At 48.6% G+C, this 17,243-nt stretch overlaps 1 annotated feature.

The window, feature by feature from the left end:
• Positions 13,326 to 13,385: a silencer, noted in NCBI's record as "silent region_11185". NCBI's record gives its function as "represses an Ori minimal core promoter by ATAC-STARR-seq in GM12878 lymphoblastoid cells {active_cell/tissue: GM12878}" and the evidence as "EXISTENCE:reporter gene assay evidence [ECO:0000049][PMID:35858748]".

Here is a 17,243-nt window from a genome sequence, read left to right on the forward strand (position 1 = left end):
TTTGAAGACTTCCGTGTCTTTTCCTTGAAAAGGCTGGAGCCAAATTCCTTGGGGGTCCTTTTCTTGTCAGAATTGTTATGATGAGAATGATACACTCACCATGAGACTTCCATTCCAGGCTGAGAATTAAAACAACCCTGGCCTTTATTCAGTGCCTTGTACTTTTCTTTCAAAGCACATTCATAGCCATTAATGTGATCTTCACAACATAAAATTCCCCTTTAATTTGATCTTCGGAACAGCCCCAAGAAGTGAGGAGGGAAGACGGACTCACCGCCAGTTGAAGGAGGAGGAAATGGCTTGCCTGTTAGGTCGTGGGCCTGGCCTGGGAGTGACTGGGTTGCTGGTCGAGTAGCTCAATCCCTTGAGTGCTGATTTGATAAATATTTTTGCGTACCAACGATGAGCCAGGCTCCGAGCTGGAAGTGACCATGCAAATGAGCCATTTGACTTTTTGCATTTGCTGCTTGGACTCTCCGGCCTCTAACAACCTGCAGGTTCCCCAGACTATGCTTGCATGCCTCCAGTGACAGGGAGGTCACCACCTATCAGAGTAGACCATTCCAACTGTGGATGGCTCACGTGGTTAGAATCCTTTCTTCCCCTGCGTGGAAACCATCTCCCTGTGTGTTTCATCCTGCCTCCTGGGTGTTCCTTCTTCCCTGAAGCAGGTAGGATCATGTCCCCGCTCCATCCTCTCTTCACTGGAGGAAACAGTCTTTGCTGTTTCCACATGTGAGCTGGGTCATGGTTTCTGAACAAGCTCCAACTTGGCACTGACCTTCCTTCAGGTTCCTTCTCACATGTGTGACCTGACTAGCTTAGCTGGCGTGGGACTGTGTCATCCTTTCTTCTGGGTATTATGACTTGATCAATGTGACACTTACTTGTCTCAGGTTACTTAGAGTCACCACGTTCCTGCTGACCCACATTGAACTGGTGCTGACAAAAGCCCCTCATTCTTTCCTCCTGTACCTTCAACTTGGGTTCTTAGGCTGAGCTGACGGGCAAATCTCCCAGTTAGAGCTGCTTGACTGGACCCTCCAATAGGAGGCCTCCACCCAGCCTTTACAGACCCTGCGGATCCCAACTTCATTGTCATTGAAATTAACATTTTCTCCCAGCTGTGCTCCACCCACGTTTGACCAGCCCACCACCCAATTCCTTGTCCAAGCACTGAAATGGCTGCTGAGGCCTGAGCGCTGGAGAAGCCCTCTGGTTGGCTGACTTTGTTTCATTAGCAAATGATCCTTGCAGCCATGCAGTTTTTCCACCTTGTCCACAAGGAAAACATGACCTACTTTGTCAAATGTCTAGCTTTTTATTTATTTTTATTATTATTATTATTATTTGAGACATGGTCTCACTCTGTTGCCCAGGCTGGAGTATAGTGGCACGATCTTGGCTCACTGCAACCTCTGCCTCCTGGGATCAAGCGATTCCCCCACCTCAGCCTCTGGAATAGCTGGGATTACAGGCATGCACCACCACGCCTGGCTAATTTTTGTATTTTTTGGTAGAGACGAGGTTTTACCACATTGGCCAGGCTGGTCTCAAACTCCTGGCCTCAAGCGATCCACCTGCCTCGGCCTCTCAAGTTGCTGGGACTACAGATGTGAGCCACTGTGCCGGGCCAAATGTCTAGCTTTTGAATGGGTTCATTTCACCTACTGAATCTTACTGATATCCCAGACCAGGGAGCTTGTTAAGAAGGAAATGAAATGAGAAATAACGCATTCTTAAGATGCACATGACCATTCTCAGCAGGGTGCTCCCCTTGTTTCCCCACCCGGGTGTTCACCCATCATCCGTTTACTTGTCTATATGTTCTAAATAGGGTGAGGGTAATACTTTTTTGTCTATGTTGCATGAGGTTAAGGGAAAGAAAGTGATATGGTTTGGCTCCGTGTCCCCACCCAAATCTTATCTCGAATTGTGATTCCCATGTGTCAAGGGAGGGACCTGGTGGGAGGTGATTGGATCACAAAGTGGTTTCCCCCATGCTGTTCTCTTCATAGTGAGTGAGTTCTCACAAGGCCTGATGGTTTAAAAGTGTGTAGCAGTTCCCCCACTCTCTCCTGCCGCCTTGTGAAGAAGGTACCTGCTTTCCCCTTGCCGCTGCCATGATTGTAAGTATCCTGAGGCCTCCCCAGCCATGAGGAACTGTGAGCCAATTAAACCTCTCTTCATCATAAATTATCCAGTTTCAGGTAGTTCTTAGAGCAGTGTAAAAATCGAGCAATACAGGAAGATAACAGAAGAAATTAGAGAAGTAGGTTATAGCCAGAAATGTAGGTCTTGAAGGCTGTGCTAAGGAGTTATTAGGCAGCTCTGTCCTATTTGGAGCAGACAAAGAGACAAGTTGAATGCTTTGCTGATTTTGAATGCACACCTTCTCTGTGCGCACACTTTCTCTTGTCCATAGATGGTTTCCAAATAGCAATTGTGTGAGGCCTGACAAGCTGTGACATTGACAGTCTTGGTTTCCAGATAGCATCTGCAGCGTTCAACCCTCCTGGATAGGGTGACCATATAATTTATTCTCCAAACTGTGACTCTGGGGAGCAAGAAGGGTGTATTAGTAATTATTCTGGGACACCAAGGGTAACCTAGGGCTTCCCTGGACAAAACCTACCCTGGAAAAATCCTGCCCAGCATCCCTTTCAGACACTCGGGAATATTAGGGAGCCTCTGACTTGGAACAGGCAGGAATCGTGTTTCACTTTGACTCCATATGGGGGCTGCAAGGGTAGAGATCGGGGTCTGAGGATTTGGCTAACGGGCCAAATGTTTTGGGTTTGCTAAAGCTTCAGCCACATCATGCCTCGAGCATTTTCCTATCACTCTCAAATTTGTGTACTTTAGGGCAAAGTCATTTCATATGGCCCTAGCACCTTCACACACGGCTCAGTGAAGCCATTCCTGGACAGGCTTCTTGCTGTCGAATGAGCCCTCCCTGTGGAAGGCGCCTCTCTTTGAACTCAGACGCCTGTTTATTTTTGAACTGGAAACCAGAAACTTAGAATTCCCCAGAGCCACAGGCTCAGATCCTTTTTTTCAATGATAACCTGTGGAACTTATAGAGTGGTAGACTTGAGAAATACCCGGGAGGGGAGAACCCGATTGATCATTTTATCCAACCATCTCACATTACTGATGGACAAACCTGGCTTGAAAGACCTGGGTTGAAAGAGAAGAGAGGGATTTGCTGAAGGTCACCTCGTGTTTTCATTCCTTTGCCATTCTCAAGAACATTACCATGCCCGGCTCCTATAGGAAATGAAGCAATGCGTGAGAATAAAAGCCATTTGATCACACACAGCCTCAAGTCACTCACAATTCCGAAAAGCCTTGAGGCTGTGTGCAGACCCGCGCGGCAACTTTTAGAGGTCTCACCTCCATTGCCAAGTGCAGAGCCGAGTTAAAGACTGTTATTATGGAGTCCAAGTGAGGACAAGAAGAGTCACACTCACCATCCAGCAAAGCCAGAGAAGGTTCTCGTAGCACCCAAGGATGCACATTGTGGTCCCCTGGGACGCTCTCTGTGACGATGCCCCCACTGCTCTCCCTACCTTGCTCAGCTCCCTTCTCCCAGGAACATGGTTGCCTGAGTGTCTCTCCCCACCAAGGACCCCTTAAGCAAGGCCTCAGGGAGGTGGCGTGGTGTTTTGGGCTTGAAACCTGATTCTTTCATCTTGGGCAACTTACTTCATGTCCCTGAGACTTAGACTTCTCAATTTTAAAACTGGGGCCATCATAACTCTCTTCTATGTGAGTCGTGGATGCTACGGGACATGATGTATGTAAGAGTGTCTGCTCGCTGTACCCAGTTCCCTGTCAGTGCCTAGTGAGGTTATTATTGCTCTCACTTTCATATGTGGTTTCTGAACGTTGGCACTATTGGCATTCTCTGTTGCGGGTGTTATTCCATGCCTTTTAGGAGGTTCTGCAGCATCCCTGGCCTCCACCAACTACATGCCCTTAGTTTACACCCCCCAAATCGTGACAAGCAAAAGGTGTCTCCAGATACTGCCAGATGTCCTCTGGGGAGAGAAAAATCTCCAACCCCAAGTTGAAACCTCTCTTTTAGTATTACCTGGAGTGCCTAAGATTCCCGATATCATAATGCAGTGAGAAGAATGTGGATTTTGAAGTAGACTGATTCAAGCGAAAACCCAGGTTCTACCAGTCACTACCATGTGGCCTCAGGCAAGACAATTTTTTGCCTTTTTATCTGTAGAATGGGCACAAGAATGGCTCTACCTGCTTGATGTTGGTCAAATGTGACCATGCCAGGCCTGGGGAAGCTGTTAGACCTATGTTCATTTCACTTGTTTTCCTCCTGGAGGTGCTCACCAGGCATTAAATCTCACCAGGCATTAAATCTCACGTGTCCCTGTGTCATTGCAAGGCAGTGCGGATTTCAGAATCCTGAAGCTGAAGCATGTCAAATTGAAACTAGGAGCAAAATGTTTCGAATCTTAATTTTTTGTTTCAATTCTTGAAATATTGCTGTTGTTCAAAAGCATGCATTTCTACATTGCTCATGTGTGGTTTTTTTTTTTTTTTTGAGATGGAGTCTCGCTTTGTGCTCCAGGCTGGAGTGCAGTGGTGCAATCTCTGCTCACTGCAAGCTCCGCCTCCAGGGCTCACGCCATTCTCCTGCCTCAGCCTCCCGAGTAGCTGGGACTACAGGCGCCCGCCACCACGCCCGGCTTATTTTTTTGTATTTTTAATTGAGACTGGGTTTCACTGTGTTAGCCAGGATGGTCTCGATCTCCTGACCTCGTGATCTGCTCGCCTCGGCCTCCCAAAGTGCTGGGATTACAGGCGTGAGCCACTGAGCCCGGTGCTCATGTGTTTGAATGCATTTGGTTACTTCGTTTATTCTCTTCCCTGTAGCTTCACAAGTAATATCTCTCTGTCGCAATTCTTGTGCTCTTTAATAAACTGTTGTGGTATCTGAGTCAAATTTAATCCTTACAACAAGTCAGGTCATACTTGTCCATTTTTAAGGGGAAATGAAGCCCAGAGCGGGGAGTAGGTTCCTTAAGGCTGCACAGCAAGCCAGTGGCTTGCTTGGCTCAGAACCAAGGCTGCTGGCTCTTCGGACATCCTCTTGTGCCTGGTGCCTCGGGACTTGGTGGTGGCTGTGGTGAGGCGTGTGGGATGGCCACGGTGTGGTGAGGGGAGGGAGAAAGAAGGAAGGCAGGACATGTATTAGTTTGCTAGGGCTGCTGACACAGAGTACCAAACACTGAGAGCTTAAACAACAGAAATGAATATTCTCACAGTTCTGGAGGTAGAAGTCCAAGATCAAACCGCCAGCAGAGCTGGTTTCTGCAGAGGCCTCTCTCCTGGGCTCATAGATGGCCGCCTTCCCCCTGTGTCTTCACGGGGCCTTCCCTCTGTAGTCTGTCCAAATTTCCTCTTCTTATAAGGACACCAGTCAGATTGGATTCAAACCCACCCCTAGGGCTTCATTTCCCCCTAATTACCTTCTTTAATGGCCCTATTTCCAAATATGGTCACTTTCTGGGGGACGGGGGCTTAGGACTTCGACATAGAAATTTTGGGGGGCACAGTTTCGTCCATTACAGGAAGGGAGGAGGGAATGTAAGGGAAGACATTGGAGGGAACTCTGGGGAAGGAGAGAGGAGAGGAGGAAGAGACTGGGTGGAGAAGGTCTGGGACACAAGGGTGACCCTGGTGAGCTGGGGGCGAGTGGGGGGTGAGAGGGCCCGGCAGGGGCTGGCAGTTTCTTTCTCTGTCATCAATTTCTCTTCCCAGGAGTCTCCTTCCCAGCCGCTTGCTCCTTAGGTTTGAATCTCTCCTCTTTCTTTGCCTTTCCCAGCTCTCTCCTTCTGCTGTCTTTGATTCGGTCTCTCTAGAACTCTCAGCCTCTCTCTCTACAAGACAGCAGAAATCTCGGGGGAGTTGGAGAGGGAGGCAGTGAGGATTTTCTGTGTGTGATTATTTTAGTAAGCTAGCCCAGGTTTTCACCCAAACCCACTGTAAATAAATGCTGTCCTAGAAGCTGGATCCGCTGAGAGCGCCTATCTATCCCAGCTCTGCCTGATCCTCTTTCCTCGGCTTGGCTTCTCCGTCTCCAGGCCTCATATCTCCCAGTGCAGAGCCAAGCAACATCGTCCTTCCCACCTCCACCATCCTGCCCCAAGGTCAGTACGTTGTGGCTGTAAAGGAAGGAGGGTGTAAAGGAAGCAAGGCGACTCTGTCCATGTCTGTCCTCCCTGATAGCAGACGCTGTGGGCCTTCCATGCCACCAGGACACAGCTCCCTCATGCACACATGGGGACACTGAGGCCTGGAGAGGAGGCGTGGCTGGTCAAGCTGGCACAGCAGACACCCACACCCGTCAGCTGACCCATCCCCTCTCTCCTCTCTCTCCCTGAGACCACCACCCTGCACGTTCCCTCCCTCTGCTCCCTTCCTCCGTCTCCTGGCTCATGCAGCAGGTCAAGCAGCCGTGGACGGGCGGCTGTGGGCTGCTGTGTTCTGCAATGTGCACCCAGCATTCAGGGCCCAGAGCCTGCTGCCCAGACCCCAGGGCCAGACTTCCAGGAACATCCCTGGAAAGGGAGGCAGCCTTGAAAAGTCCTTGATTTACTGAAGTTGGTGCCCAGAAGGCAGTGCTTTCTGCAGGAAGAGAGCTTGTCCAGGCTGTGAGCAGGTGAGCAGAGACGTCTGCAGGAGAAAAGGCATAGGCCAGGCCTCAAGGACTGTGTCCCACAGGCTGCTGGGAGAGGAGCAGGGAGCAGAGAGAGAGGGGGGCCTGGAGCTTGGAAACCGGCAGAAGAAGTCAGGAAGGATTGTGAAGAGGGGGTCTGTATTCTTTTCCCACAGCTTCCCTAACAAAGTACCATGAAGTGGGGGGCTTAAAATCACAGAAACTTCCTCCCTCACAGTTCTGGAGCCCAGAAGTCCAAGTTCGAGGTGGGAGTGGGGCCAGGCTCCCTCTGAAAGTTCCAGGGGAGAATCTGTCCCATGCCTTCCTCTCCACTGCTGGTGCTGCTGCAACCCTTGCTGCTCCTTGGCTCGCGGATACATCGCTCCAATCCCTGCCTTCGTTGTCACCTGGTCCCCCCAGCCCCACACTGTCTGTCTCTGTTGTCTTCTCCCCTTTTTACAAGAATACTAATCATATTGGATTTAGGGTCCACCCTATTCCAGTTTCCAAATAAGGTTGCATTCTGCATTCCTGGGAAGAACATGAATTTGGGGGTGCTCTTCAACTCAATCCAGAGTCTAAGGGAAGCCAGGTGGGTGCAGTCTTGCTCAGGCTTCTCTGGACGTGCAAAAATAAGGTCCCAGAAGACAAAGCTCACATTGGGGCCAGGCTGACATAGGTGTCTGGGCTTTCCCTGCAGCAGGTAGATACCTGCAGAGTCTGTGGGTCTCCACACAGGGACGCACACTCCAAGAAAGGCCCCAGGGCAGCCATGCCTCCTTGTGATTCTTTGCGAGGGGAGGGAGCTGGTCAGTACTCTGTCTTGTCTGTGATCTGTTGCTTGGGATAAAGGGATCAAAACACCATCTGTGCCCCGAGCTTGTGTTTGGTACCAACCTGCAGGCCCCGGAGGATCTGTGTGGTTTGGTTGGATGTGCTCAGCGTGTGCCCACCTGGAATAAGACTTACCACTCCTGGGGATAAGAACCCATTTCCTGAAATGAGAACAGTCTGGCCAAGGTCCATGTGCTGCCTCACTTTCCTGAGTAGCCTGGGAACTCACCAATGCCTGCAGAGCTCAGCACCTCATGAGCACAGATGAAGGGTGGCCATGGTGAGCCACGTGACTCTGGGTGAGGCAGAGCCCCTCTCTGGGCCTCCATAGTTTGGGGGTTCTGGAGGTGGCTTCTAAGCCTCCCACCAACTTGAGTAGTAGAACCTTGGATCATTGCAACAGTACCATTTTTTTTTTCTCTGCAGTGGGCTATAAGTTTGCAAAGCCTTTTTAAACATTTTGTCTTATTGAATCATCTTATTATTCTCGGGCCACAGTGGACAGGTGCAATTTTCATGTTTCTCAAGATAGACAGCCTGAGGCCCCGGGTCTCACTGTCAGGTAGGTCAAAGCTTTGAGATTAAGTCCTGTAATGCCTTATTTCAGTGTCCCAGGTCCCCAGATATTTCCCTATTAAGTCACTCATGGGACACCTGTGTGTTGAGTGCCTGTTCTTAGTCAGGCACTGATCTCAGCATGGGACACCATGGAAGTGAACACTGACAAAAATCTGCTGTCACCGGGTGTGGTGGCTCATGCCTGTAATCCCAGCACTCTGGGAGGCCGAGGTGGGCGGATCATGAGGTCAGGAGATCGAGACCATCCTGGCCAACACAGTGAAACCCCGTCTCTACTAAAAATACAAAAATTAGCCGGCTGTGGTGGCACGTGCCTGTAATCCCAGCTACTTGGGAGGCTGAGGCAGGAGAATTGTTTGAACCTGGGAGTCGGAGGCTGCAGTGAGCCGAGATCACCACTGCACTCCAGCCTGGTGACAGAACGAGACTATGTCTCAAAAAAAAAAAAAATCTCTGCTGTCTTGGAGTTCACATTCAAGAGAAGAAAACCAACAATAAACACACAGATGGTATGTCACACAGGGAAAAGAAGGAGAGGGACAGTGACCCTCTCAGAGCCAGAGGGGGACTGTTGTCGCATAGAGTGTGATGTGGACAACCTCTCTACTAAGGTGACTTTTGAGTGGAAACCTTCAACCCTTGTGAGGGTAGAAGCCAGGTGGCTGCATGAAGGAAAAGCATCCCAGGTGCTGAAGGCCCTGGGAAGGGAACAAACAACACACAGGGAGGCCAGCGGGCTCACACTGAGAGTCTACACTTGAGACCTGTAAAGCAGGGCTCTCTTTTGGTTTCCCTGGGCCACGTTGGAAGAAGAATTGTCTTGGGCCACACATAAAATACACTAACACTAACGATAGCTGAGGAGCTAAAAAAATTGCAAAAAATCTCATAATGTTTTAAGAAAGTTTATGAATTTGTGTTGGGCTGCATTCAAAGCTGTCCTGGGCCGCTGGGCCTTGGGTTGGACAAACTTGTGCAAAAGAAAACAGGTGTATCTTTTATTACATATTCCAAACACCACAGATATTTTGAAAATATAAGTATGTCAACCATTGCTTTAAAACTGTGCCATCTATTGCTCTCTGGGAACTTCCCCTTCTTGAGACTCAGCTCTGGTCCATCATATTGGAGGATGCCGAATCCTGATAAAGGATTTCTGGGCAGCTCTGAACAGAGGACAAAAGAGATGGAGATGAGCCTCCTGTGGTTGGAGTCACTAACACAGTCACATGGTGTCATTGAATGCCTGCTGAAAACACTTGTCCGAGCAGCGCTCTGGAGCATAGACTGAGCCTTTGTGATGGTCATAGCTGGTGGCCTGTGCAGGAATGAGTTAGCGTCCCTCCAGGTGGGTGCGGAGGAGGAAATCCAGCCCCACCCTGGGAGACCTCCTGGGTTCATCCTGGTCTAGCATGAATGACTCTGTCTTGGATACACCAGGCTTCCTTCCCCTTTCTGCAGTAGAATTCATCGAATTCTGCCAGTGCATTAGAGATGTGGGCTTAAGAAAATCCAAATGACATCAATCAACTAGTGATGAACAAATATTTGCAGAGCCCTTCCTCAATGTCACACCCTCAGTTTGGAGCTATAGTTTAGAAGAATATGGGGATTAATGAAACCTGGCTGCTTCTGTTACATTCAAGAGGAGAAAACCAACAATAAACACACAGATGGTACGTCAGATGGGGAAAAGAAGGCAGGGGGAGAGGGGTAGGGAGGAAGACTCCCCACTCCTGGGGGATTCGCTGCGGAGACAAGATTTATGTTCAGGAAAAGTTAACATGCAGGAAAAGTAGTTACAATATAGCTCCTTAGTCTGAACCATGACTAGATAATCATATGGTGAGCCTTTAAATGTACCTGTGGGATACGGAAAGAAAGGACCTCCTTGTGTCCTAACCCATGGAGCAGGGGGGTGCAATAAAGTACTGTGGGTGACAGAGTTATTTGAAGGGGTGATGAACTTTGCGGGTGAGATGGCCTGAATTATCAAGTTCAATAGATAAGGAGGGTGAGGCCTAGAGGGGATGTTTCTCACCCAAGGTCACACCCAGAGCCAGTGTCCAAGTGGGACTAGGGCCCAGGTGGCGTCCTCGGGTTCTTCCAGGCCTGCCTCTTGCCTCCTAAACATTTTCATCTGTTTCTGGATATTGGTGGCTCCATGAACTTTGGGCGATCTCAGCGTTTGGTTTTCAGGTCTGTGACTGGAAGGCAGAAGGGATCTGCTGACTCCACCTGCAGATGGACTGAGTCCTTCTCGTGCCCATCACCTTACCGCTAAGGTGTAAAGGACTCAGGAAAGGGACACAGGAGCTGGGTCAGGGTAGCTGCAATCGATTGCTTGGACAAGAATGGACCAATGACACTCACAGCTGACATCATGGTGGTGACTTTTTATGAAAGTCAGGCCAGAGCAGACACAATGAAAGTTAAAGCATTGAGTGTGAAGTCTTGTCTTGGAGTCAAAAAAGCTGAACCAACTAGCTCAGATTGGCAGGGGGTGATGGGGATATATGGCAAGCACAAGGGTATGAGAGAAGGACCCTAGAAGGTTCTAACTAAAATTAACCTCAATTTTGTTTTATTTTTTTTAAGGAGAAATGTGGTTTCACTATGTTGGCCAGGCTGGTCTCAAACTCCTGACTCAGGTGATCCACCTGCCTCAGCCTCCCAAAATGCTGGGATTATAGGCGTGAGCCACCATGCCCAGCCAAATTAACCGAGATTTTATGGGCCAGCTGTGTATGGGGGCAGTCAGTTAGCTAATGTGACTTCAGGCTGGATTGCTAGAGATTCAGTGCCTAGAACAAGAAAGATGATGCTCTTATTCTATTTGTGCTGGTCTGCCCACTCCTGGAACATTGTTTTCAGTTGTTCAGAGGAAGAGTGGACAAATTAGCATATCACGAGAAGAAGGGGCCAAGGGGGGCAAAGAGACAACAAGTATTCCCTTTGAAAAACTTCGGAAGGAAGTGAGGGTCTCATCCTAGAGTGGAGGTGGGCATACCAGGAAGAGGAGATCTACTGTGAATATCCGTCAGGATGAGAGGTAACAGTTGTGTTTTGTACAGGCCAAGAGAAAGACAGCTTAGAGTTTGCCTCTCGTGGTAATGACCTTCATGTCTCTGGAAGCACTTGTATGAGGGCTTAATCATAAGAGATGCCAGAGAAGGGATCGCTTCACATAACGATAACAATAGTAATAGCTAACACTTGTTAGTTGTTACTATATGCTGTGTACACTTTACGCCAATTAACTCAATTTTCATAACGACCCTATTAGGTAAATACTATTATTATCCTCATTTGACAGAGGAACAGAGGGTTATTAACTTGCTCAGGGTCCCACAGGGCTTTGACACCAGGCAGTGTGGCTCCATAGGCTGAGCTCCTGTAGTGCATGAAGAGCATTTGTGCAAAAGACCTCTAAGATTTGTCCCATTCCTGAGACCCTGAGGTTTCAGGGAGTTCCCTGCTGGGACCATTCCCCAGTTATTTACTTCCTTGTAATAGGTCATGCTTAGCGTAAGGCCAAGGAGACAAGACACTGCTGACTCATTCTTTCCCAGCTGTGCAGGCTGGGCACAGAGCCAGGCTGCTTGTCCAGCCCTGGGGCAGATGCCGGCTGCTGCGGTTTGGCAGTGGGTCAGCAGCTGGGATGAAGCCACAGAGTCTGACCTGTGAGGAGGGTGGTGGGTCCACAGGAACCCAGGCTCTGCAGCCCTTCTGAGATGGGCGGATCTGGGCATAGGAAAGAAATGCAATCAGGAATGCAGCAAGGCAGAGTTGAAAAGTCCTGTGAAGACTGTGCTGAGCATCAGGGTCGGGTAAGCCTCCTCTGGGGGTTGCATAGGAGCTGCTCACAATCATCCCAGTATTATTCACATCATCTGTATTTAGTGGCACCTCCTTGGTGCCAAGGTGTGAGCCATGGCCCCGGGTAGCACAGCCTCCTGCTTCCCAGCTGCTGGAGGGATTGCCCTGATCCCATGCTTCTCCAAGGTGGTCTGGGGGAAGCAACCCAGCAGCAACTGTAGGAGCTGCCCAACTCTCCCACTGCCTCAAGGGCTGAAGGGATTAATTTCATGGCATACGTGTGTCCCCCTAGATAAGCTCTGCTGCAAAACACAAAAGTGGCCATGTTCTCTCCCAGCACTTGAGCTTGCCTTGAGACTGAAATCCAAGTGATGCCCCTCAGGCTATCACCTCTGGTGGATGCCCCTCCAGCCTGTCTTACCCATGTCCTTCTTGGGCCATCAGCCTTCTGTTACCTGCTGGGATTGTTCCCAGTCTGGGACACCATACCCCAGTTCCTCACCTGCCTGACTCCTGTGGGCCCTTGGAGTTAGCACAGGTTTCACCTCTTCCAAGAACCTTTCATCTTGTCAGAGCATTGGCCAGGCAGCCCCGGGATCCCTGGTTGACTCTTCTGGGTTCCCTGAGGACAGGGCTGTTCCTCATCTCTGGAGTGCCAGCCCCTGCAAAGCAGTTGGATAGAAACGCAATCGTTATTGGTGACAATTTCTCACAGTTCTACAGCTCCTTACGGTTTATAATGCATTTCACACTTATTCTTGCATTTGAGTTTTGCAGAATTTTATGTGTGTTCCTTTCTCTGTCGTCACTGAGTGCTCACTCTAGGCAGCCCTCTGCTAGGCGCAAGTGGCAGGATGGAGGAGCGTGCCAAGGACTAGGAGATTACATGGAGAAGCTAACATTAGCCTTAGTGCTTCTTTGCCATTTGGGGAAGCAGATTTTGGAAGCTGTCACTTCCAAGGTGGAGTTCTGGGAAGTGTTTGGGCTTCCCCTTAGCAGGTGCTCCCTAAATTCTAGGCACTCCCCTCCAGCACTAGAGCTTTGTATTCTGACCCCTGACCCTCACAGCCCTTTGCCTTTGATCAATGTATTTTCTCAGACTGGAACCTCCTTCCTCTGCTTTTCCCTGTTTATCAACCTAGTTTAGTTGCCCCTTGCTTCAGACAACCTTCCCTGTCTCTTTCCCTGCAGCCCCCGGAGTACTGTAAGGCCCTCCACCAACAGACACCTTTCACTTTATTGTCCTGAATCACAGGTTTAAGCTTAAGCTGGGTTCCCTCCATTAGATCTCTGGAGATCCAGAATTAGGGTCAGATTTATTTCTGTTTCCCTGCACAATATCTGTTACATAGCAGGTATTGTGTTGGAGAGGGAATGAATGGATGGATGAATGAATGAAGAAACTGAATTGAGTCCATCTCAGCTTCTCCAACAAGGACAGAAAAGAAACAGCTCAGGAGACGTAATCTTATAACATGGGGTTTCTCTGTAATTTGCATAAATAACCCACTCTACTAGGTTTCACGCCTCTTGGGAGACCTACCAGCTGCCTGCCTCTCACTTCCAGTTTCCAAAGAGGAAGGAAGGTTTCTACCAGCCCAGCTCAGCTGGTCCAGGGACTAAATTACCTTCCCATCACTGAGCCCCTTTCTCATTATGCCAGAGGAAGATCACTACTGCCTGTCCATTTGGGCGGCTTATCCACGTGGCCTGGTTCCAGGAGCCATCTGTGTGATGTCATTCCCAATACGATTTGAAACTTCCAGCATCTGCAGCCCCCACTGGTGTTGAATCATAGTGAGACTGGCATTATCATCACCTCCACTTTACAGATGGGAACTTATCATGGTGAGGGTTCTAGAGATGGGGTGGGGCCGGGCCCTGTGTCTCCAAACGAGCCCAGTGTATCTCTTGAGGCTGGCCTCTCCCTCTCCCTGGTACAAGCCAGGGCTTCAAAATCCAAAAGATCTTTCTTCATCTTTTCCAACCCACTATGACCCAAATATGCATCTTCCTTTAAGGAATGTCTTAGATTTAAAAAAATTAAAAACTCAAAAGCTTCTGAGGCATCTTACCTGAGCTTATCAACATCTTTCCCCCATTCCTTCTGATATAACTACTTGGGCTGACTTGAAGCCTCACTTAGGTGCAGCTGCAATGGTGTGAGGTTTTTGTTGTTGTTATTGTTTTTGAGATGGCGTCTGGCTCAGTCATCCAGGCTGGAGTGCGATCTTGGCTCACCGCAACCTCCGCCTCCTGGGTTCAAGCAATTCTCCTGCCTCAGCCTCCCGAGTAGCTGGGACTACAGGCATGTGCCACCACGCCCGGCTAATTTTTTTGTGTTTTTAGTAGAGATGGGGTTTCACCATATTAGCCAGGGTGGTCTCAAGCTCCTGACCTTGTGATCTGCCCGCCTTGGCCTCCCAAAATGCTGGGATTACAGGCATGAGCCACCGCGCCCGGCCGGTGTGCGGTTTTATTTGAATGGAGCTCCCGTTTGAAATAAAAGCTCTATGATCTAACCTCTCCTGGGCCTCCTGCCTTGCATCCCTAGGGGAAGTTTTGGGGCATAAAAGTCCAATTTCTTTTCGTATTGGACGCTTGGATGAGAGAAAGAGAAACGAAATCCTGGCACTGAAAAAAGCAGAGACAACCAAACCCAATTATTCCTACTAACTGGGAAGGAATTCCATTTGAGTTAGTGGTTCCCAAACTTGTCTGATGATAAAACTTGCTCGATTGGAACCTTTATGTCTGGACTCTGAAAAACCTACATTTTAAAAATTAGAGATTCCCTCCCCAAATTTTATCAACAGGGAAGACAGGGAGGAAAAAAGTTTGAGCTATAGACTTAATTCATAACACCTTCTTCTTAGACTTGAGAGATTCTTTAGGCATCTATCGTAATGATTTGATAAGACCGAAATGGAAGGAGTCCAGTTAAAGCAAGAAAAAACATCAAACATGCTGAAGATTCTCCACCCTTCATTTTAACATAATTTATTATTTTACAAACACTTTCATAGCACTTACTATGAGTCAGACTTCATGCTCTGCAAATATTTGCTTATTTAATCTTCAGAGAGGCTTGCAGAGGTCCGATGGGGTTAAGTCACTTGTCCAAGGTCACATAGTTATGAGTGGGGGAGCCGGGGCCCAGACTCAGGCCGTCTGGCACCAGATTGGTTGATATAAACCACGCAGCTATATGTGTTTTAAAAAACCTCTTTTCACTTGGCCACAGAACAAACCCTGTCTTCATAATCATTGTGAAGTAAATGATTGAAGAGCCTTGTCTGAGTGATTTCAAATATTTTGCTGGCGGGGTCCAAATTAGCGATCCTGTTATTGTACATGGAGCGTGGTCTGACTTTCTCTTTTGAGGGCAAAACATGCCTATTGTTATGGCAATCCCAAATGCTGCATAGAAGCTTTAAAGAACAGATTCTAATCCCTTTGTTTCTCACTCCAAATGTTGAAACAAACCTCAGAGCTCTGCTGATTCCTGACAGATTTGAGTCTCTCTGCGTTTCAAATATTTCAAACCAGCTTGGGAAGCAAACACATGATATTCTTCTTTCTCTTGCATGGTTTATTTTTAAAGCATGCATCTGGCTGCTTTTTCATTTCCCAGAAGGTGGAGGGAAATTACTCTACAGCAATGGCTGGGTGTTGGATCGCAGCTTCTCCCCACAAGCAGGAGGCGACAACTCCGTCCAGGTCCCAAGCATGACCTTAGCCTGTTTCCAGTCTGAGCCCTTGGTGAAGAAACCTCTGACCAGCAAGAAGCTGGGCTTCTTGCACATGGCTGGGAAAGAAGTTGCTGGTGGCTTTTACATGTTTATCATCCCTGAGGAGCAGTCTAGTTACTCTCTGATCATTCCCCATCAGCTCAGAGAGCCCCTTTCTGGCTCAGAAAGCTCATTGTCACAGTGCCACAAGCATTACTGAGCATTTGCCATGTGTCAGACCCTGGGCTAGACATGACTACACAACTCTACAGACCAGGCATTATTAGCCCCCGTTTTTCAAAATTGAAGACTGGGGATCAGGGGATGTAAGTATTCTACATGCCTGAGGCTCTGCAGTGCGTGAGAGCAGAAAGGAAGGCGACTGGAGACCAGGCTTGACACCTCTGCTCCCTCCACCACTCCAAGTAGTGAGCAGGCATTCTTATCTAGCATTCTTAATATAGCACCCTGGGTAGTCTCTGCAGGAGCAAATGAGCAGCAAATGTGTTCAGGGCAGCTGGGAAAGACTATTTGTAGTCTGAGAACTTGTGGCTTGATTATATGTGTTGCTTCACAATTTTCTTGGAGGAGCCTAAATCCTGCAAGGAAGTGCAAGGTGTGAAATTCAAATAGCCTTTTGGGATTCCAAATACACTTTCACTAATAGCCTTCATCAAAGAAGAGCATGTGACTCCAAACAGGTGGTTGATGTTAACCCAGTAGCATCCTGCGGTTGCTAGTTATTTTCCCCAAGGAGCTGTAGCTGAAACTTTCGTGTACAGCAAATGGCAAGAGAGCTGTGGCTTGAGATATGGCTTTCATCAGGCCCCTTTTCTCCATCCCAGATGCCACTACATTCCCTTGGTTCTAATCATTGAAATATCCTCCTTCAGCCTCCTTCTATCCCTGAGTGCGTCCCCTTGGCTCCAGTGTCCATGCTGGCTGCCAGGTGACCTTTCTGAAAACAAATCTGACCATGTCACACTCCTGCCTCACACCTTTTGATGGTGCCTCACTACCCTCAGGGTCAAGTTCAAAGTCCTTAGTGTGGAGTACATGGCCCCTGATCATTTGTTCCCCAAAAGCCCTGGAATACCTCGTGTCCTTCTTCATTCTCCATGCTCTCTGTCTCAGCCAGAATGAATTGAGCTATTTAGTTATTCTTGTATCTCCTTGTTATTTGAATAACAGTATCTCCCTGTTATTCAAACATGCTGTGCTCTTTTAATGCTTCTGCATCTTTGCACATGCTATCCTTTCATCCAGGAATGCCCTGTTGCCTAGCTAGCATGCTTGTCCCTGCTTACTGACAACTCAAGCGACCCAGCTTCTCCTGCCTCCCCCAGGCAGAGGTCTCATTCTTCTCTCCTGTGTGTCCCAAACACCCATACAAGACTCTGTCATAACACACACCACATCATGTTGTAGCAATCGCTTAGGTGTGTGTCCCCTGGGTGGCTGGAAGTGAATCTTCACCATCCCAGCACACAGTCTAGGCCCAACACAAGTGGTTAGGAATTGCTTGGTGAGAAATGTATAAATGGAAGAATGAGTACATGAAGGAAGGAATGCAGACATAAGCAAGGCATTTG

The sequence above is a fragment of the Homo sapiens genome, chromosome 2 (assembly GCF_000001405.40).
Source record: "Homo sapiens chromosome 2, GRCh38.p14 Primary Assembly".
Lineage (NCBI taxonomy): Eukaryota > Metazoa > Chordata > Mammalia > Primates > Hominidae > Homo > Homo sapiens.